This window comes from Homo sapiens, chromosome 3, assembly GCF_000001405.40.
Source record: "Homo sapiens chromosome 3, GRCh38.p14 Primary Assembly".
Classification (NCBI taxonomy): Eukaryota; Metazoa; Chordata; class Mammalia; order Primates; family Hominidae; genus Homo; species Homo sapiens.
The window spans coordinates 102,403,879-102,426,781 of NC_000003.12; the positions used below are offsets into that span (position 1 = coordinate 102,403,879).

General features: G+C 34.1%; 1 protein-coding gene across 2 annotated transcripts in view; it reads left to right on the top strand.

Moving 5' to 3' along the window:
- ZPLD1 (zona pellucida like domain containing 1) overlaps positions 1-22,903 on the top strand; it is a 94,698-nt gene that overhangs the window by 18,735 nt on the left and 53,060 nt on the right. Inside the window, exon 2 of one of the 2 annotated variants that reach the window (XM_017005703.1) lies at positions 14,182-14,329. The gene's annotated coding sequence lies outside the window, so the exon portion shown is untranslated. Of the gene's footprint in view, positions 1-14,151; positions 14,330-22,903 lie in introns of those variants that run through there. The other variant, XM_017005704.1, reaches the window with a different exon arrangement.

Below are 22,903 nucleotides of genomic sequence, written 5' to 3' on the forward strand. Positions count from 1 at the left end.
TACAGATGAACAAGACCTTAATTCCATGTATCAGAGATATTCACAGTATTTCTTTCCTCTGTTGGCATGGAAAATTGCAAAGTAGTACCTAGACATTTAAAAAATGAAGTCAGAATTCTTCACTAGTTGCCCAGATGGTATTACTTATTCATAGTGAGTGGTATTATGTGAGGCTGATCATTATAATTCTGCAGAAAACTGCCTATATTCCCGTGTCACTCTTGAATAATCAAAATCCAGAGCTTCAATAAGAGTGCTCCTTATTTACAAGGTTAATTCCTCCAATAATGATGTCTACAATCTCACCCACATTTCAGAGCCGAGAATTTATTGCATGCAGCATAAACTCATTGGATATGCGTGTAAATAACCTTATTAAGAATGCAATAAGAGGATATACATTACTGTTCTTTTGGATCAGAAGGGTAAACACAACAAGAAAATGAGGTATTTACCACTAAGTTGTCCCGCTGATTTATTTTTCTGTGCCTTTTTTCATTTTGAGCCTTTAAAATGTAGGCTGCCTGGATACTCTGCCTTCACCTAAACATTCATTTCAAAATTCTAAATTTTAGAGGATGTGTGAATTGTCCCAGAGGACACAACCAGTGCCTATATGTTAACCTAAGTTCGAATTGAGATGAATGTTTCGGGTGAGAGTCAGTGAATAGCAAATCTCCTTTTGCTTTTGTGCTCCAGGTGTTTCTATTAGGATTCGATGTAACATATGATGGTGAATTTTTCCCTTCCAGTATAAACAAAACTCAATTGATCTAGTTCTAAGCAGCACAACTGTAAGTAGAGGCCAGAGCCAATGCAGAGCAAGATGTATTAACTCTTCGGCTATCTCTTGTGTATGGTCTGTATTTCCAGTTCAACTCTAAGTGCTTGGACACTAGAAAGTTGTTCTCTACTTATTTTCTTCCTAGAGACAGCACTCAGGATCAAAATGTGCAGATGAGAATAACTCCATCAGCCAAGTGGTTTACTGGGACACAAGGTTACGTATTATATAACAGAAAAGCCATATCAAAGCTGTAATATTCTCAGAGACATTCCCCACAGAGTTACTCAGCATAGTACTATACACTTTTCCAGTCCTTGAAACAACAACATATTTTTAGGAAGATATTAGTATCTTTGAGCTTGTAACAGCTGCTGTGATATTCCTTTAACTGAAAATTATGATTAATAGATGACTATTTGCTATATTACAAGTATTGTAAAGTGGAGTAGAGTCATGAGAAAAGCGTTTGTTTTATGATAATCCCAAAGCAAGAGTCATAATAAGTGCACTTAATAATCCATACATTTCTCCAAATAAGTAGATTGTTGAGAGTTACACATTTGGTTCATTCTCTGATTTGCAGGGAAAAGATGAAGTTCCTTACCTTTTCTTTACCCAACACCCACAAGATTCCATTTTGAGTTACCTTGCCCTATTTATACTTACCTAAGAATCTAAAGAGAAGGGTGATTTCTCAATTTTTATTGTTCCAAATCTATGCCTCATAAAAGTAGAATGTTTTAGTTGCTTAAATATTTCATTTAAATCAGATAGACATGTTGACTATCAATAGCAGAAAGGAAAGCAAGATAACTAACAGAAGGCTTGAGGTCATGTGGTATAAGGAACAAGAACCTAAAATTTGGGAGGAACAGGTCCACCTCTTCCAGGTGGCTTTGAATTCAAATGCATGAATGTAAAGTGTGTTAAATGAGACCATCAAAGTGGTAACTGCTTACTCATTGTGGTGCCAAATTATCTTCTAAACTTATACTAGCATGTTCCATCAGTGTCAGCTATAACCAGATAGACCAGTTGTTTCTAATTCTGATTTTTTTAAATGTCTGAATCATTGGTAAAAGAAAATTTATTCTTCTTTGTCCTGTTCAATTTCTTTAAAAGAGGCCTGGATTGGGGGTGAGATGGTTTTGGCTCCATTTCTTGCCCTTGGGCTAACCAGCCGGTGACCTTGGATCTTTCGCCCGTTTGGGCCTTGGTTTTCTCTTTGTTAAGTGAAAGAGTTGGGCTGTATGCTTCCCGAGATTCCTCCCAGCTCTAAAATTCTCTATTCTACATCACTTAAAAGCTATTTTGTTTTTATTTAATTATATAATACTAATCAATGACAATTAACTGTCTTTGGAAATGTAAGTCTGTGATGGGATCTGACAGAAACGCTTGCTTTCAAAATATATTGCTTTTATAATTAATATGACCAGGCATGGCAGTCATACAGTTGTACACTAAGGATCTCTTCACAGAAGAGATGTCCATTTGGAAAATCAGATAATTCTCAGAAAACTCAGAGAAAAGTCTAAATTAACTTTGAAACCATGCTAATAGATTGCTGTGCATCCTTCTTCACTATAGAAATAAACCTGCTGAGAAGGCTAGGTTTCTAAACCTAGAAGGGCACCCTTTTCTATGGCATAAGCTTGACACACAACTACACAAGTTACCCTCATCTCAACCTGTAATTGCAATATGTAATTCTCAACTCTTGTTTACCAGGATTTCACCCTTCTGAAGACCTTGGGTATTGCAACTTTAGATATGTAATTGATCTTCTATTGCTTATAGTTTTGGGGTCCTTTCCTCTGTGGAATTTGTCTATACACCCTTATCCTCAGTACCAAGACATTTATATACAAGTTTTTAGGATGGACACTTCTCTAAATGGTTGATCAAATATATCGATTATGGTTAACTTCACTTGTAGAAGTTTATATTTTGCTTACTTTCTCCTCAAATTCTAGGTAATTTTTACTAATTTCTTATGTTAGAACTTTAAAAATACCTGCTACATTCAGAAGTTCTTAAAAAATGAATGATTTTTATTCTAAACCACAGTTTAAAATGTTTTAAAAAGAATGACTACCTCTAGCCATCCTCTAATCCACTGCTGTAATTCAGAGCCTATCTTTCTCTTTGAGTGAAATCGTTCAGAATTGCATTTTCCAATTATTTATGGTGTCAACATGTTTCTTTTATTTATACAATGAGGTGGTCAGCTTGAACATATCGTGCAAATGTTATCAGAAGTAAGAGCTCAATATCAACTTCAACAAAATGAAAGTTATCATTTTTGAAGTTGTGATTACATATCCAAGTGGATGATGCTTAACAAGTTTATTCTGCAGGTTCTGTGGGAGTAGCTCATCTTGAAATGCCATTAAGGTGTGATTCTCCTCAAATTTAAGTTTTTCTCAGCACTCACATGTTAGAGATTGAAAATTATTAAAGCATACTCTTAAAGTTGTTTTTTAGTTAATGGATGAAGCTGTGCTCCAGGGGTTTAACTGCATTATTGAACATACCTTGGAAAGAACTAAAATTGCTGAAAAGTCTTCATTCTTCCCAACTCTATTGTTTTGCAGCTGGGTAGGAATACAGATAAGTTATTCAATATTTATATAAAATAAATCTCAAATCTCACCAACTCTATAACTAATAGGTAAGTCATTTAAAATTTTTATTTCAGGTATTTATAGAAGCCTTGATTTTCAAATATATATATATATATATATATATATATATATATATATATATATATATATACACACATATGCCATCCTTTATGAGTCCACTGGGATAAACAATCAATTTTTTAAAATTTACAATCTATTCTCTGCTTTAAATTAAATCAGTAGAAAGCTACAATATTCAGTTCTCAAAAAATTTCATTTCAATGATTGATTAATTTATATATTTGACTAGTATTTATTGATATTTTGCTATTTACTAGAAACTCTTTTAGGCAGTAGTCATGAACACAGTCATGGCTCTGTACTCATGGACTGCCACAGAGTGACACAGATACCCAGTACCATCAGGCAATGATCAGAGCTATGAAAAATAAGAGAGACATCGTTTTTAATACTGTGTTTATTGTCCTGAATGCCAACATAAGGGTTCTGGAACAGAGCAGAGTTATGATTATTTATTTATAGCAAATAATAAAATGCTGTTTTTCCTATCCTCCAGTATCCACCTTTCAGCACGATGCAATGAGGCTCAGGTGCCACTCTAAATATACTGGGTTTGTATGAAATGTCACAGAGGCAAGGAGGAGCACCTAAACCAGACTGGGACTGGGACACATAAAGGAAGTTCAAGAATTAAGTTTGTTTTTTGCTGTATGTCACAGAAACTTAAAGAAAGTGCTTTATGTTATTATTTTATCTTATTCTTTATGTAATAGTCTGCAGGCAGAAAGTCCAGGGTTGTTATGGTGATATGATCACATCGATGTCCCAGATGCCCTCTAGCTTTTAGTTTTGCCATCCTTACACCAATGTTGTTTTCCTCATGCTCACAAGCACAAAAAACCTATTACCCTTCTAGACCTTATGTTTCAATTCTAGAAGGAGAAAAAGGGAAAAAATGAAGGGCAAAAGATACACTGAGTAGGTTTGCTCCATTTCTCAGGAAGACAGTAACACTGAAAAGCCCAACCCTGTAGTTGCCATTTACACTTATTTGTCAGAACTGGATCACACGCCCATCCTCAGATTCATGGGATTGTGGAAAGCTAAGTATTTTCAAACAGAAACATTAGCCATTAAGTTAATTTCTATTCTATTAGAAAGAAAAATTTAGCGAATAGATATTAGGAGGGCACTTAAAAATGTCTAGCACAGGGATGATTTCTGCAGAAACTGAGAATGAAAGAAAGAAAAATTATCAGCAGACCATCTAGAGACTTACAGGAAAGAGAGATTTCTTGCAATTTAACTTTGCTTCTCAACTTTTTTTTTAAAGAAGCAATGATAAGAAACAGTCTAAAAAAAGAATGGCTGTGTTCTTTGTTTTCTGTGAGTTGCTATTAAAAACACTGTTCATATCTTAGTCAATGGTCCCTTATACACTCTTATACACTAAATCCCCTTTTCACTGTTTGACGTTTGTCCTTTAAATTTGTCACAAAACCTTTATTATATCTACTCTTCTTATTTATAAGATCCTTTAAATCAGTCTGGAAGTATAATAATAATCTAAACAAACAAATGTGATAGCATAGTGAGCTTGAGGAAACATACTTGATTCTTAAAATATTTTATTAACCAGATATCTAGTACAATGGACCCTGAGATCCTCAATAAACAGAATACACAAATGTTGACAAAAACATACTGTCTTTGTTTTCTGCTGCTACAACAGAATATGGCAGACAGGTCAATTTATACACAATAGGAGTTTACTTGGCTTATCATTCTGGAGGCTGGAAAGTTCAAGATCAAGGAGTCATATCTGGTGAAGGCCTTCTGGCTGCATCATAACATGGCAGAAGGACAATCACATGGTGAGGAAGAGCAGGTGCAAGAGACAGAGAGAAAAATAGGGGTCAGATTTATGTGTTTATCAGGAGAGTACTCCATCGTTTTTCCACCATTTGGCTAAGATAAAGTGTAGGAGGACACTCCTTGTTCTCGAGATAATGGCATTAATCTATTTATGAGGGCAGATCCCTCATGGCTTGGTCACCTCTGATAAACACCACCTCTTAATACTGTTACAGTGGCAATTAAATTTCAACATGGGTTTTGGAGGAGACATTCAAACCATAGCACATACCCACACATATCACTGCCCAGAATATTTCCTGTGTAATGTAGGAATTATACAAAATAAAATTATGTTAAAAACATGTTAAACTATCAAAGATATAATCTAATTCCTTAATTTCAGATTATATGGAGTATTTGTTTCCAAATCCTTCTAAATCCTTTTGGCTTATATTTCTTAAAACTTGAGGAAGGAACACCTCCTCTGAAAAGAAGGAAAATTCCTTAGGATGAATATCAGTAAACACAATTACCTATGGAGTTTCCATTTTTTGCTGAAACAGTGATTAAAAGCTGACTTCCATAAAGCTGTTTATTTTAGTAATGCCTTACCTTGATTTCAAGGTTAGAGCTCCACTGTGGATCGAAGTCAAATAAATCTTCACAAATAAACTTGCAGGATCACATGGTTCAAGTGTGGCTATTTGGTAGTCTTGTGCCTCAGAAAGCATAGGGGATAATGGACATTCTTTAGGAGAAGAAATCATAACCAAGAGGCATGATTTACACAAGGCTAACAACATTGATTAGGTTTTGCACAAATTATTCTTGAGGGGTCATTATATCTGTATGAAACTCATTTTCCAGACTACTGATCATATTCATAAAAGTAATAGTTTTAGTGTTTTACCTCCTGTTTTAATTTCATATTTGATCAATTGGAGAGTCTTCCTTTCAGTGTGAATTTTATTTCCTTTTTCATCTTGATTGCATATTGATCTGATTGGACATGAATATGTGGAACTATTGCTGCAAACTGGCTTTTCACATCTGTAGACTAGGAGTTTATGGATGCACTCCCACCCTGAGGACATTTTACTTTTTGTATTCAGATAATGAGCAAATATTTGCTTGGAGTGGAGTTCAGAATCAGTATGGGGCAAACACATGCATTACTTTACTTTTGTTTTTCTATTACTACACAGATTATTATTAGAATTACTATAATGTTAATCTTTAATTTCTCATGAAAGCCTGAAATTCTGAAAACTAGAACACCATAGAAGTGCTGTTTTCAAAAAAACATTGCTCAAAAATTTATATGCACAAAAATGCAACAGATTGCTAGCTACTCTAATATTTATTCCACCAAAAAAGAAAGAAAAAAATCATTACATCATTTACTCTGTTCTAAAGCTTGTTAGACACCTGAAGGCACAAATGAGGTAGTCTTTCAGCAACCTAACATTGGTCTTTAGAAATGGTGAAATCAGGAAGCCATTTAAAGTTTATTCCCCCCTCTATTAAGAATTCTTTTGGAGAAACAGGAGAGTTGCTGTTTGGCACCTACAAGTGCATAGGAAACCTGCTGACTGAGAACTGGCCCAGGAATCCAAATCTTGAATGGATTTCTTGTTCATGAAAGGCTTGCTACACATGCCTGTGTTCACAGAGAGGGTAGGGAGATGGGAATGGTGGTCAGATAAAAATTCCAACAGATTTGTGTCATGCTTCAAAATGTAATATTGTTCACCTTCCAAAATATTTATTGGACCAAATAAAAATATTATTTGACCTAATAATTGTTTATGTAAAGGTTAAAAATGTTTCAGGAAATAATTTTTAAAGGACACCAGTTTCTAAGAAAGAATTGTGTCTGCTTGCAAAATAGTCTTTTAGTGGCCTTAATATCCCCAGCTGTGTTCATTGTGGGGAAGAAATACATTGGGTTTTAAATAACACGAAGTGGTTTCAAAAGTTTGTTTTAAATAGACAAAGTATTTAACTGTGGGAAAAAAAGATGAGAGCTGGAGGCAAATTGGATTCTATTTTTCCAAAGCTGAAAGTATGTAAAACTGTACCAAAAAACCCTTTGCCCAGCAAAATTAGCAGATGGTCTAAATCCCCTTGGGGTACACAGGCTCAATTCAATACTTATTTGGGATTATTCATTCAAAGGGTATGATCTCTTCTGAAAATTTAGTAAGCTGGGTAGGAATAAACTGTATTACTAAATTTGAGCTTTATAATTTTTCTAGTGTGATTTAAAAATAGTTATTTATGCTTTGGAAAAACAAGAATAACACTCACATTGGTTATTGCTGGTGTTAAACTATTTTCTTACAGAGGTAACTCTTATATGGATTGAACTTCTGGAACTGGGCTTGGTGAAGCAAGTATGATTCTATCATCTGTATTTGAGATAAAGCTGGACAGATAGTGAATACGTGGGAGACCAGATTTAGGTCTCCAAAAGAATCCTTCCCCCAAGAATAATGAGTCAACTCAAATAGAATGAAGTTTATTGTGAATAAATATAATTTCTTTCATTTTGGGTATGGACAAATAAAAACTAAAAATAAAATTAATTATAGGATAGGAGAGATGGAGTTTAGCAGCAGCATGTATAAAACTGGCTTGCTGTATTGGTCAGGATTCTCCAGAAAAACAGAACCAATAGGGTATATCTCTGTCGATCTCAATGTCTTAATGTCTCTCTATCAATTTATATATCTATCTAGGGAATGTTTTAAGAAAGAAATTGGCTTATGCAATTGTGGGGAAGTCCAAAATCTGTAGGGCGGACTGGCAGGCTAGAAATCCAGTGAGGGGTTGATGTATTCCTGAGCTTGAAATTGCAGCAGGTGGGAACCTCAGGTAGGGCTTCTATGTTGCAGAATTGCTTCTTTCTTGGGAAACCTCTGTCTTTATTCTTAAGGCGTTCACATTGGATGAGGCCTATTTACATAATGGAGGGCAATCTGCTTCACTCAAAGTCTACTGATTGTAAATAACAATCATATCTAAAAACCATCTTCATAGCAACATCTAGATTGGTGTTTGAACAAACAGCTGGGCATTATAGCCTAGCCAAGTTGACACATAAAATTAATCGTCATACTTGCTTAACAAAAATATGTTTTGGGAGGCATAGGATCTGGAATACTTAAGTAGTAGTTCTTTTCAATTCTGTGCAGTGTGCTCACTAACTCCCACCTAGAGGATTATATTTGATTCTAGAACCAGACATAGAGAAGAGGATGCTGCTACACTAGCTGTAGGGTATTTAGAAGTGAACATGATATTAGGGAGGATTTAACCTATTATAAGAATGATTGAAGGAACTTAAGTTGTTTTGCCTGAAAAATGGAAAACTTGGAGATGATGTATTAGCTGTATTCAGTTTACTGTATTGAAATATATAGTGCTGTCACACATAATTTGTATTGTTCCAAGGAGGAAGAATAAGTAACTATAACAGAAAGATAGAGTTTACTTCAACATAAGGATGAATTTGCTGATAGTCATAGTTGCTCCAAAGATAAAATGGACTACCCCTTATCAAGAACTGTGAGCTCTGTAGCAGGTTTACAAGCACAGATTGACTGGTTTCATTTGACAGGGACATATGTATATATCCCTATATATACACACATATGTGTATATATATGAGTGTGTGTGTGTGCAAGAGAGGGAGAGACACTATAAGACTATGTACATGAATGGTTAGAAGAGATTCAAGCATTGAGGGCGTATTGGATTAATTATATGGCCGCTATCATTATTCAAATGATTTTTGAAATAATTCTATGAATTTTATTTGACATTTGAAAAATTTGAAGCCTATAATGATTTTACATGGCTATGCAGAGCTAGAATAGAAACTGGTTTGACTTCTGCTAGACTACACCTCAGTCATCTGTCCTTTGGTGTGTATTACACTTAGTTTTTATCAAGAATATATATAGAAACAAACAAATAAATATTAATTAATGATTAAAATTAAATGTCATTCTACAGTTCACACTAAGTCATAAAATTTTTAAAAAGACTATTTTTTTAACAGTAAAATTAAATTACTAAGACCATGTTGTGTTTGTTTCTGGGAGTGGGTTCACAGTGCAGGCAATGATCTTAAGATGGTCATAGACACTTTCTCCAAATCAATTTGAAAAGTTAATTATTTGTGTTGGAAACTTATTCATATTTATTTAGTAGCCTCATTGCTACTTATCAATAGGGTAGTGCTTATTTTACATTATTAAATGATTTTTCTTTCTTATGAAAAGTCTGTATTTTAATTTTTTAGAAAACTCCTTTATGGACAATGGTTTTATAAAATCTGTTAGACAATGACTATCCTGAAACAAAAATTAAGTATATGGTGCTTTTTATATGCTGAAAATATATACATGCAACTTTGATGCTGGGCCCAATGGACATTCCCTATAAATGGGCATACAAAACCTACTCTTTAACTCAGGAGAATGCCAGTACTGACCAGCTGGGTAGTGCTGTCCAAAAGCAATGAGATTTTAGTAGAAAATGATCCCATAGTAAGAACATATTATTGACTTGTCAGACTTCTAGATAAGGTGGAAAACTGGAAGCTCAAAGGTTTAATCCAGTCCAAATATGTGCAAATGATTAAAAAACATGAGCAGCATATAAAATTTGGGTGATTTCAATATAAAATTCATATAAAATTTGGGTGATTTCAAATAAAAACCTTGATTGCTTTTTTTTTGTAAAAAAAATGAAGTTTCTGGCAATGTTGGATAATGTATTCCTGGATGTCAGTAATCTTCTGGAAGAGTGTAGCCAACCATTGCTGCCTTGAGGAGAGGAGGCGAGCTGTGTGCTTTCCAGTTGGACATGATTCCTGTTACTTGCTGAATGTGTTCACATGCCCATTCACCAGGTGGCTCTTATCACTTATTTATATCACCTTCCAGCCTTGGTGGTCCTTGAAGTTTGTTTCCTGTTCTAGAGAAGAAGGGATTCTCAATTTAACTACTGGGTTCAGGACAAACTCCCACAATTCTATAATGTGTATTGAAAGTATAGCAGTAGCCTATTTCTAGCTTGCATGTTGCTTAGAATTGTTGGTTTTAAAAGGAATAGCACTATCTATGACAATAGAAATATGATTAGAACAATTTTTCCTACCATTATCCAGTTTGTGGCTTTCAACAAAGATTTGCTGGAAATACAAACCACAATTTCAGTGCTTTTATTGTCAAATAGGACAGTATTGGTGAGCTGATACAGTAATTGCGCTTTAATAGCCATCAGCACTCCAATTTACAATTATTTTAAATTTAATGCTTTGATTAGGCATTTCCAGAAATAAGTAAGCTTAAGTAATCCAAGAAATAAGGAAATGCCTTACAAATCTGGGGATGATTTAAAAGCTTTCTTAAAGTTATTCAATATCAGTTACCTAGTAAAGCTAGTTCCTGGAATTGATCATGTGTAAATAAATAACTGCGAAGAAATTATAGTACAATAAATACTGTATTCACCATTAATTCTTCATTGAAACCATCGAGAATGTATCAGTAAATCTTATATATAAGGGGAATTATTTGAAAATACCCAAAAAAAACAAACAGATGTTTAAGTATCATGCCATATATGAACAATATATCAGTATTTCCAGTAATGGTCTTAAAGTAATAAATTCAGCATTTTCAAAATAACATTTTCTCTTTTTGTGGTAAAATAATATGTACAATACAATAAAACTTTAGCCTCATAGCTGCTTGCTAACTTATCAACTAACAATTCATGCTGATCAAAAGTAAGGCTAATTTATTCAGCTTTTAGACTCCTGAGATTAGAAATATTTGGGTAAATTACTTGTTGAGCTGGGAAATCGATTGTACTTATGTATGAAGCTTGTTTGGGCCTTCTTTCAAGTGTGGCTGAGTCTGTTCTTATAATTCGTCTACAATGCTATGTGGCCTGAAATCCCATTAGGACATAGAGCCAATTTATTTGTGTATAATAAGAGTATCTCGACTACAACTCATTTTGTAAGTAACTGAAAAGCCTATAGCTCTCCTATAATTTAGCTCTGCAGTAAGAAAGCCATTACACTGTGTCTATGAGATACCAACATACTAGTTAAAAATAAAAGGTAAAGTGATCTGGGCCAGGGTGGGGGATGAGGGTGAGATCTCTGATGTTCAAAACTATTTTCTGGCTGCTGGATTAACTGATTATTTCAATCCAAGTGAAAAATCAATGTACATATGTATTTATGTTGCTGAGTTTAGGCCCATTGTAAAGCAAAAAAAGGAGCTCTGAAAATGAGGCCAAACATTTGGATGGATGCTACAAACTTCATGAAGCATAGGGGTTTAGAGATAAAAATTTCTTATGTTTGTTTTATAATGAAATGTTTTAGCGTGAAGCTAAAACTTTGCTTTAAAGAAAAAATGTAATCTGCTTTTCCCATATTGAAAAGGTGCTTATACTGAATAATATAAAGGACATAATTCTCCCATAAGCAAGATCCTAAAGTACTGACTTACTAACGATGCTTAATTTACAGCTCCCTGTGACAAGGAGGGCTTTTTACTTTCATTTTCTAACTGGAGTAATTCAGTCATTGAGAGTTTAGTTATATGACTTTTAAAGGATGACAGGAATGAACCATTTAGTTTGAAGAAATAGTTACCAGTCAGACTGCCTTAATCTAAATTCAACCTTCTTTAGGAACTAAAGGGCACTGGTCACTTTTCTCTGATTATGAAACATTAAGTCCTTTTCTGCACAGGATAACTCCTCAGCTTTCCACTTCTGGTGCTATCAGATACTGATGAATATTTTATATGCCTAAAATTATTCCCTGATAGAAGCATATGCTACTTGTACAACTAATCAAATATTCAGCCAAGTCACCCAGCTTGTAAGACAAGAAATCTCCCTGATAAGGGGCTCAATGTTTTCCAATAACTGGTAAAATTTCCTTTGAAATTTTGTGGGATGTATGACATTGTTGTTCATCACATTTTAAAAGCAAAATAGTAACAAATAATGTCAGCTACTTTATCTCAACTATTTTATATTTTCCTTGCTGAAAGCCTGTAATGGAATTACTACTGTCTTTTTAGCTAACCAACTTGTAGGGTATATGGGTAGTGGTATTCAATATTTATGAAATGCTCATTTTCTTATAGGACAGAGCTACTGATTTTTTCTATAAATGACAGAATTTATTAATTCCTACTTGAACCTGTTGCATTTTCATTTTAAATTTTAAAATAGTAGAAGACATGATGGATATGCGTTCAAAGCGAAACCTGAAACATTGCTTGAAAACATCTAGCTTGATGCTTCATTATAGAGTAAAACACACATGAGTCTCTGGAGAATGAGAAAAAGTTGCAGTTACTGTCAACATAATTAGGAAGACCTAAAAAAAGTTTATCATGATCACTTAAATTACTTATCTATTATTGATACATAATAAATGTACATATTTGGGGGTACATGCAATAATTTGATACATTAATGATTTATGTTTTTAATGAGTGCTTAACCCCCTCAAATACAAGACAGATTATATTAAAGGTATTTGAAAAATCAGTGGACTCATGCACTTCACTATTCGTGGGTAGAATAGTATTATAAATATGCTTTTTCGTGAAGCTGACACTTCCCTGCAGAATATGAGCCTGGATTTGTTTGGTGTAGAAAGTACCAAGCTCTCACTCAACACTAAACAGAAGATAGAAGGCAATGTGAATTGCTTCTGGCTATTATATTTTTAGTGGTTACATTAGATTTAAAATCACTTACCATTTAGGGAAAGAGTTTGGTCCAGGGGGTTGACTAGAAATTTTAAGAGGCCGAACTCTTAGATTTTAATCTCAGTTCGCAGTAACCATAGGCAACTTGCCTCTATCCCAGAGGTAATTGAGAACGTAAATGTTGTTAAAGTACCCTGAGCCAATAGAATAAAATGAAATCTTATAAAGGTGTAGGCCAGTGGAATTACCGTTAGCGCAATGTGCTTTTTTCAGGGTAGCCATCATTATTAAATGGCAGACGGAGTAATATAAATCAATACAAAAGGCTTCAATCTTCCACACAGTTATCCCTAAGCACAGTAGTGCATTTCAGTACTAAAATAGTAGCAAAGTATTTCACTACTTCACTACGGCCAAAACATCTTGAAAAGTGTTCGCTGTGGTGCCTGTGTCGCAGGTTCCCACTCTTCTTTCCAAAGAGGAATCATAATAGCTTATGGAGTGGAATGCTTAGATGACTTCCAAATTGGGTCCCAGGCTCCAAAGGCTGGTGGAGGTGGGAGGTGCTTGGAGGCCCCTAAACAAAAGCCGAGGTTATGAAGCAGTTTCAGTGTCTAGCTTCCTCTTGACAATTGGGTCCTGTTGGGTTTGCTTGCATTGTCAGCCTCTTAGTTATTATTATTCCAATCAAACAAGTTTTCACGGTGATATTCCATATCCCGTTTTCATCACTGCATGAAATGTAGTATTGAAAGGGCCCGGCATCTTTCACGAAGCACAACAGGACATTGATAACTGTGCAGATTAGCTCCCCTTCCAATCCCAGGCCTTGTTTCTTACTTTATGATTTTTTTTCCAGCAGGCTTTCCCTCATCAGGCTGATGATAGCTCACTTCACATATACCACTCACGACATCTGTACAGTATAAAATACAAGATCAAACGCAGGTAGGGGAAAAAAAGAGAAAGGGAATGAAATGAAAACAAAGAGAAATAGAAGGAAACAAAGGTCCCTAAAAGATGAGCTCAGATTTCATGGTGGTGATGATTAGTTTTGTAAAACCTTGTGAGACCTGTGGAAGCATTTGCTTGTCTAAAATTCAGTTTTTTCTTTCTTTTTTTTTTAAAGACATTTCAAAAAGAGCAGCTCTTCTCTCATTTGAAGCCTTGACTCTTTTCTGAAAAAGTTTGGTAAGGTCAGGCATTTGAACACTCAGTCACATGCGGCAGAACCTAGCACATGGAGGACAGCTGACTCCACAGAACCAGGGATTTGGGTAAGTGCCCAGCACTGAAGCCACCTGAAGTGACTAAAAATGCTGCCTTTTTACTAAGCATGGAAGACTCAGTTTAATTTAATAATGTTTTCTTTTTAACACACAAGACAACCTCCCGCAAAACTCCTGTAGTTGTTGTTGTGGTTCCAGTGATGGGTAATGTTTGGCCTGGGAAGTATCTTAAATATAGCAAAAGGAGGTTAAAAACATCTTCCCCTACTTGGGTGCAGGAAGATAGAAACAAAATTGTATTTTGTAAACTTCAATTTATCCCAAATATTTTTATTATATTTGGAGAAAGGACCGAGTCTTTTGGCAGTTTCTTCAATCTTGAGGTTCAGACTTGAGGTCAAAAGTTGTGCAGGATTTGCCACATCGTTGTGCTTCAGACATGAATTCCAGCCACAGACTTTGCCAGCCGGCTACAGCTCACAGATGCTTCATGAATGGAAGCAAACAGTGTATATTTTAGATTTCTTATCAGGGTTCTATTGCACCAGAGAAGCTGGCTAGATATGTGTGGCATCATCTCTAATTACAATGATGATATGATAATTGAAAATAATTATGGTGTGATTTTCTTTTAAATAAAAATTATTCTAATGATTGGCCTAGTATTGTTAAAATTGACACAGAATCTCCCATAACCTGGGAGAAGTTATCTGTGAATAAGGGGAAACACTGTGATTTCCATTTCTTGGGTGATCTCTAAGTTTCCTTCCATTCTAATGGCTTCTTCTATTTTGCCTTTGGTGAAGCCAGTTACTTTTTGGTGTTAAGGAAGAGACTATGTTCATGTATTTGAGATAATAATCTTTTTGGTTTTCAGGGTTATGACATTATTCATTTTGCTCCTTTGAATTGGATTCTTATAATTCACTTTAAGGGTCAAATAAAAAGGAAAATCAGAAACAGTTCTAAACTGTCAGTTTAAATAAATTAGGTAGCAACAACAAAGAGGTTGAATTTAGTTAAACATCTAATATTTATCTTAATACATAATTGAAAATCTCTATTATTTCATTTTTCAGTCACTAGCTTTCTCTCATGTGACACATTTCAGAACTTTCATTTGAATAATTGTGCCTAGTTTTGTATTTTTAAGTTTCCCTATGTAAGTTTTTATTTTTCTTTACTATTATAATACTTAGCTAAATATAAAAATCTAAAAATGTGTTGTATATATTTTTGTTTTAGAGATTTTCAGAAACATCCTCAAAAAAAGTTATCATTATTGTTAATAGCCTCATAACATAGTAACAAGATCATGGTAGACATTACAACAAATTCTACATTTCTTTGTTTCTCTCTCTCTTGTTTTTCATGATTCTGGGAACTAAGGGAAAATTCTACATTTCTTTCAAGACATTTAAAGCTTCTTTTCCCCTTAAAAGGGCCTATAATAATGCAGAGGTAATAAACGACTGATTTTTTTTTTTTTGCAAGGAATCTCTTTCTAAACGTAACTTTTGAACCACTGAACTGTGAGCAGATGCTCATATTGTAATCTATTCAGTTATGATATCAAACAGTAAATGACTAAAGATACATGTTTTCATAGCTTTTTCAATAGCTTGAATAACTTTAAGTTCATGAGTAGAGAATGATAATCTTTTGTCTCATTTAAGTACCTATTAGAAATGTTTGCTTGCAAGGAACTCATTTTTTTTTTTTTGGTTAATTTACCAAATTTGTCCTTTTTTTTTTTCTGTATTTAAGCTGGAATGTAAAGTAGGTCAAGGCTATTAATTAAGCTTGATCTGGTTTGCTGTGTTTGTCTTCATTGTAAAATGGTGTAGCTGGAAGCCAGACACAACAGCTTTACCAAGATATGATAAAGCACTAGACTGAGTATTACAGATTCAGAGTCACTGCTGATTATTATTAGATGTCTAAGTTGATTTCAAGTGGGAAATTATAGGAATTTCAAACTCTCAAGACCTCAATGATGAGGCAAAGAAAGGTACACCTTAAAAAAGCAGCTGATCAATTCCACCAGTTTGAATGAACATGGTTTTTTATTGCTAATGGAAAATGGCCTTTGTCAAGGCTTGCAGAAAAATATATTAATGAGAAAGTACTGAAAGACAATATTTGCTGAATTTCCTTAGAAATACATTGTGTCCTGTCCCCCAGATTTATATGTTTTGTGGTTTATAGTCATATTCTAATTGTTTATAGCAGGGTGAGCAAACTTTTCCGTAAAGGGCCAGATCACAAATATCTTAGTTTTTGTTGGTCTCTGTTATAATTACTAAAATACGTCACTGTATCTCAAAAGCAGCCAAAGAAAATTTGAACACAGATAAGCTGGGTTAAAATAACATTTCATTTATAGATACTATACTTTGAATTTCCTATAATTTTCACTTTTCACGCAAGGTTATTCTTCCTTTGATTTTTTTTCAACCATTTGAAAAATGTGAAAACTATTTTTAGCACGTGGACCATACAAAAATAGGTGATTGGCAGAATTTGGCTTGCCGGCTGTAGTTTACCAATCCCTTGGTTTACATTTTAATTTTCTGGAACTCACAATAAGATATCCTAGAACATGAAGAAATATATTTAAAAAACAAATTTTGTACATGGAGCTTTATGGATTTGTTCTTGGAAAGTGACAAAAATATTTTAAAAATTATGAAACCAAAATATTTTAAAGTGGCTAAGCCACAAGAAGAGTAAAGTTATACTAATATAATAATTTTGTTATTTCTACTGCTGTATCTGTGAAAAATACAGATGCTAAATTCAAAAAGTATATTTAGTTTGATAAAAGTCACCTAAGGCCAAATGAAAATGTCAATGGCTTTGTTTGTAAAGTTAGGATTCTCTATAAAATGAGATTAACTTGAACCTTTCACTAACATTGTAAGTTCTTGAATCTAAAATTTAACCATTCAAAAAGTAAGAGAGACTGAAGACCGCTTATTGTCATCTATTAGAATTTAAAGTATTATATTTGCTCATATGTGCTTATCTGAGAAAAGCCAGAGTTACAACTACACTATCTCTCAGTTGAACACACCATCATTACATGACAGAATATAAATCTTGTTTATATTACATGAGTTGTACTTTGAAATTAAATCATTTTTCTTTATATAATAAATATTGTGGAATTGGAAATAATTTGTGACCAACTTTTCTATTTCAAATGTAATTTATCATGATTTTCATGTAATAAGTTATAATAATTGAATAATTTTTAAAAACTACTCATCTTTTAGAGATTTAAAATTGTTATCCATAGGTACACACATTTAAAAACTTTGGTGCATTTGTGTATTATGTATTTGTGCTCATGTATTTGAATTCTGGCAGAGAAATTCTAATTAGAAATCTCTTGAATAAATATTTAAAATGAAGGTAATATATTTCTATTTTCTAAAATTATTTATCAATTCTATTAAAATGTGTGCCATCACTGTCAGTGAAGTGAAAAGGAGACTTGGTAAAAGATTGTATTGTTTTGCTTTTTTTAGTTTATAAAAATCAAAGTTAATTACAGGGCATAAAAAGTACAGCTGAACCTTGTTTTAGAAAGTGAACCAATTAATTAAAGCTAGTTACAGAACATAAAAATACTAGTGAGACTTAAAAAAAAACTGAACCAATGAACTCACTAAATTCAAGCAATTTTTATTGTGAGTTTTATATATCTAGGTATAATTTCAAATCAATTTCTAGACCCCCAAGTCCCATTTTCTTTTGTATTAAAAACATACAAAAATAAATATAAATTATTTCTAGTGATGGATAGATTGATTTGATGATTTTAGTTTGATTGATGTTTAGATGAAATTGAAAAGTTTAATTAGTAATGGAATGTTTAAACAGTAAAGCATTATCTTGAGGACTAAATGTTGACACACTTAATTTTCTACATTTTGATGATATGGCACTATCCCCTTTGTAGCAAGATAATCATTCATTTAACAAACATTACTTGAAAATCTGCAGTGGATCTGCACTCTAGTAGCTCCTAAATACGAAGATGAATATCATACTCTTGCTGTCATGAAGCTTAGAGGTTTACTAGGAAAGAACAAAGTTGTATCTCCAAAGGGTGATTTTGCCCCCTAGGAGACATTTGGCAATGTCTGAAGATATTTTGGGGTGTCATGACTTGTGGGGAACTATTCCTGGTATATAGTGGATAGAAGCCAAGGATGCTGTTAAATATCCTACAATGTTGTTATGGCATCCTACAACAAAGAATTATCTGGCCCAAAACATCAATAGTGCCAGCTTTGAGAAATGCTGATCTAAATGCATAGCATTTTTAGAACTGCTATTATAGAATGATGCATAGACTCTGAGGAAAATACAGAAGAAGTAGTGAATTCTATGAGCACGAAGGGGTTGTTTTGATAGAAGAGTGTCTTGAAAGAAGAGCATGGGAAGGTTTTTGAAAAGCTGAATGGAGAGATGTCTTTGTGGAGGGTTGGTGGGCTTGGGAAGAGCTGCTTTATAGCTGGAAGCAGTGAAGTGAGAAAAGATATGGATATATAAAACAACTTATTGAATTTGGGAACTGTAGCAAGTCTAGAGTGGATATGATGGGCATAGGGAATAGAAACATGTGATTGGGCAGATAGGAACTTTTTGTTGTTGTTGTTGTTTTGCCGTGTCATGGAATTGGAGCTTTCTCCTGAGTGGTGTTGACATTAACAAAGGGTTTCAAGCAGGGACATGACATGATCAGGCAGTCTATTTATAGGATTCATCAACCTTGGTGTGAAATGTCATGGTTATTTAAGAAAGCATAAAATTTTATATCATTTGATCAGGAAAGAGCCACAGGGAGAACAAGTCTGTCAGTGGGAAGAAGGATCCCTCCTTTTTTCCCTACAATTGTTTTACTTTTGGTCCAAAACTTTTCACTTCATTTGTAAGGACTCTATCAAAGAAATACAAACTGAATTCATTTTCATTGGGTTGACAAATGCATTATGTTGCTGATTAGCTGACTCTTTCAGGCTTAAACTGCCATGTTGTAGCATCAGGGAGCATTATCCTTTCTTGGAAGTTCTGTTTTCAGATTCCAGCTCTGGAGTCATGGTGAGGAAAAAGAAAATATGCTTACCAATGACAAAAGACAACTAGAAATGGAATCTCAAGTATAGCAAAACCTTATTCCTCTATCTCAGTGGTTCGTAATCTCAAAAGCTTATTAGAATCACTGTAGGAGAAATTTGGACATTCATATTTCTTAAAACTCCTCAAGTAATTCAAATTAGCAGTTAGGATGCAGACCATTATATTATCTTAACTCAAGGAACTCTCCTATAAACACAGAATATTAATCTTACAATTTTATTTTGGCTCCATAATGATTTTTAAAAATATTTTTTCTCCAGTAAATTTACCTTCTAATTTCCATTAAAAATTAAAATAAATTTGCATTTTCTAAGCATACACTAACTTTCAAAGAGTAGCTTTCTGACATTATTACAGTACAAGAGGGACCTCGACTATGATTTCTCACCTAATGTTCATGAGTTAGGTGAGTCTCCCTCAAGAAGCAGAGAGATAACTAGAGATTTCAACGTGGAGTTTTTCAATGGTGGCATGCATAGTCTTAAAAGGTCTTATTTTGTGCTGCTCAGCTCTGTAATTGATTGGTTAACATGACCAATAAGCAGCGTGCTAGCCATGGAAAGGCTAGGAGTTTGCTTTTCCTGTAGCCCATTCTCTACTCTTCAGCTGTAGATCACATACTCCATTCCAGGTAGCTGCTTTGGAAATGGGGGTTTTCTTACTAGAGTGCTACAGGAGAAACTGTGTACCAATGCTAATTCATCCTTGTAAAAAGGAACCAAAGATGTCAGTCTTAATCCTTTGTTTACAAATAGTCATTAATTACTGCTCTATGTAAGGGAATGATTTTCTTTTATCCATCAGGAAACAGAAAGGAAACGATGGCTCAGTCTTTGTTCCTTATGAATTAATTACAACATTGCATCAATGAGCAAAAGAGAAAACACTATTGTTATAAATTGTCCTCGTCTCTCCAGTCTCTTGAATATACATATTTTTTGCATTTCCTTTCTCTGCCATCAAGTTTTCCCTTTGTGAAAAAATTTCCTCTAGATACAAATTTCCTTCTAGGTATCTTCATATTTTTCTCCTTTCATTCACAAATGAATGTCCTATATCTATTCCCTCTAATTCCTTACCATACTATATATTTATAACAAGCATCCTCCCAAGACACACACAAATGAAGAATTAATCAAACTCTATAATCTAACTTTGGGTCTTTACCTAGAACTTGGGAAATACATTTTCTCTCAACATTGTTCTTGCGAGTGTTGTCTTGGAATGCCAATTTCCTCTTGTTTGCTACTTCTGCGAACCCAATCAAAACTTGTCTGTGGGTGGGGAGATTCGGCCCATGGGTACCATGTTGCTGTCTTGTTCTAAACTGGTAGCTTTTATACTTTTTGACTATGACTCACAGTAAGATATGTTACATAGTGATCTAATATATACACACCTATAAATGCATACAAAACACATATACATTTTACGAGTACAGTACATACACAGTGCTCTCTAAGATGTTCCCTTCCATTCCAATACTTTCTATTTGCTCCTATACTATGCAATCCTATTCTATTTCATGAAAAATGCTGCTCTTGACTCATTAACCAATATTCTAGCACATTATTTGTTGCAAATTATTGTTCTAATCTAAACCCATGATTTTCAGCAGGGCCTGTGGAACAAGGAATTAGTAAAACTCTCCAAGGCTGTGTAGGTAGTTTGAAAAATAGCTGGGGTTTTTTTTTTTGTTGTTGTTCCATTACTTTGATTTCTTTTTAGTGAAGAAAGCTAATTTATTTAGAAGTTCAAATATTACATACAGGAGGAAATGCAACTATTTTATATTTTTCAAATACCTAATCTCTGCTCTTCTTCAAGCCTCATTTATATTTCATCTTTGTTTTATGGCACTGACCAAGGAATAGACCAAACTAAACAGCTATTGTCATTCAATTGGCAACTAGTTATGTATTTCTGGGTGACATCTTTTGTATAAGTCTTTGGGTAGAGACAGTTTTGCCATGATGAATCTTGGTTTTCATACTATTCTTGATAGAACTTTTACCAAAATACTATGAAATGTATTATATATTATAATATACAGAAAAGGTGGGGGTCTTCATGCCCGTAAATGTTTATGTTCAAATTTGCCAAAAATCCTGATTTATTAGTTATAATGCAACATTATCTGCAATCTCAACCAAAATAATACATCCTTCTGCTCACCTCCTCCCTGTCCCTGGTCCCAGCCTCACTAAAGCAACTTTTCTTTTGACAGAGATCATTGCTAGAACAGCTTACTTTGCCTACTGTGGCTCACAGCTATTTCTAGAGCTTGCCTGGTGTTTCAGATCCCAAAGAACATTTTGGTTATTGAGATAGGAGCTGAAAGTTGTGTTTAGCGTTATGTCTTACATCCCCAACTTTGACTATGGTAGGGATATAATTTTCTTAGATTATGTTCATCTCATCCGGGACACAAAAGCGTGTTAACTTCTTAAGTAATAATTTTCCTTCCTTTCAATGCTTTCATTCTCCAATATCTTGACAACATTTACTTTGATCCTTTAAATAAGTTAGTCTTATTTTTACTTCTATGCCTTAAGCCTACTAGATGAAATATCCTTTGCAAAGTTCTATAACTTAGTTATAGTTATAGTTATTTAGTCACTTAGATGATGTAGGTCCTTATTTTACAGATAGCAAGGGAGGTAAAGTGAGTTATTCAAGATACCACAGAATAAATTATCTATAGGTCACCTGTTTTTAAATTTCTACTATGATAAATTTCAAATATACAAACATTGAAATAGTATAATTAGTATAATCTTTAACATTTTGACATATTTCCTACACACACACACACACACATGCACACACACACACACACACACACACATGCACACACACACACGAACATTTTTTAAAGAGCCATTTCAAAACAGAAATACTGCCACTACTTAAAAGTTAGAATTGGGCCGGGTGCGGTGGCTCACGCCTGTAATCCCAGCACTTTGGGAGGCTGAGGCAGGTAGTTCGCCTGAGGTCAGTAGTTTGAGACCAGCCTGGCCAACATGGTGAAACCCTGTCTCTACTAAAAATACAAAAATTAGCCAGGTGTGGTGGTGCATGCCTATAATCCCAGCTAGTCAACAGGCTGAGGCAGGAGAATCGCTTGAACCCAGGAGGCAGAGGTTGCAGTGAGCCAAGATTGTGCCACTGCACTCCAGCCTGGGCAACAAGAGTGAAACTCCATCTCAAAAAAAAAAAAAAAAATTCAGAATTCTTGCTTAATTCTTTCCTTTTAATTATTAATTTCCAATGTAAAGATTTGTATAATGGTTATCTTCATTTGTCTATGAGTAATTTTATGAAATCCATAAAATAGAAGCAATTAATATGGTGCTAATTGAAGTGTTTAAATGTAAGGGCTTAAATTTTAGGTTCTCCTAGATTTCAATATTGATTGTTAAGTAATACTTTTGAGTATATATGCTACTTGATCCAACTGGCTAAAACTTT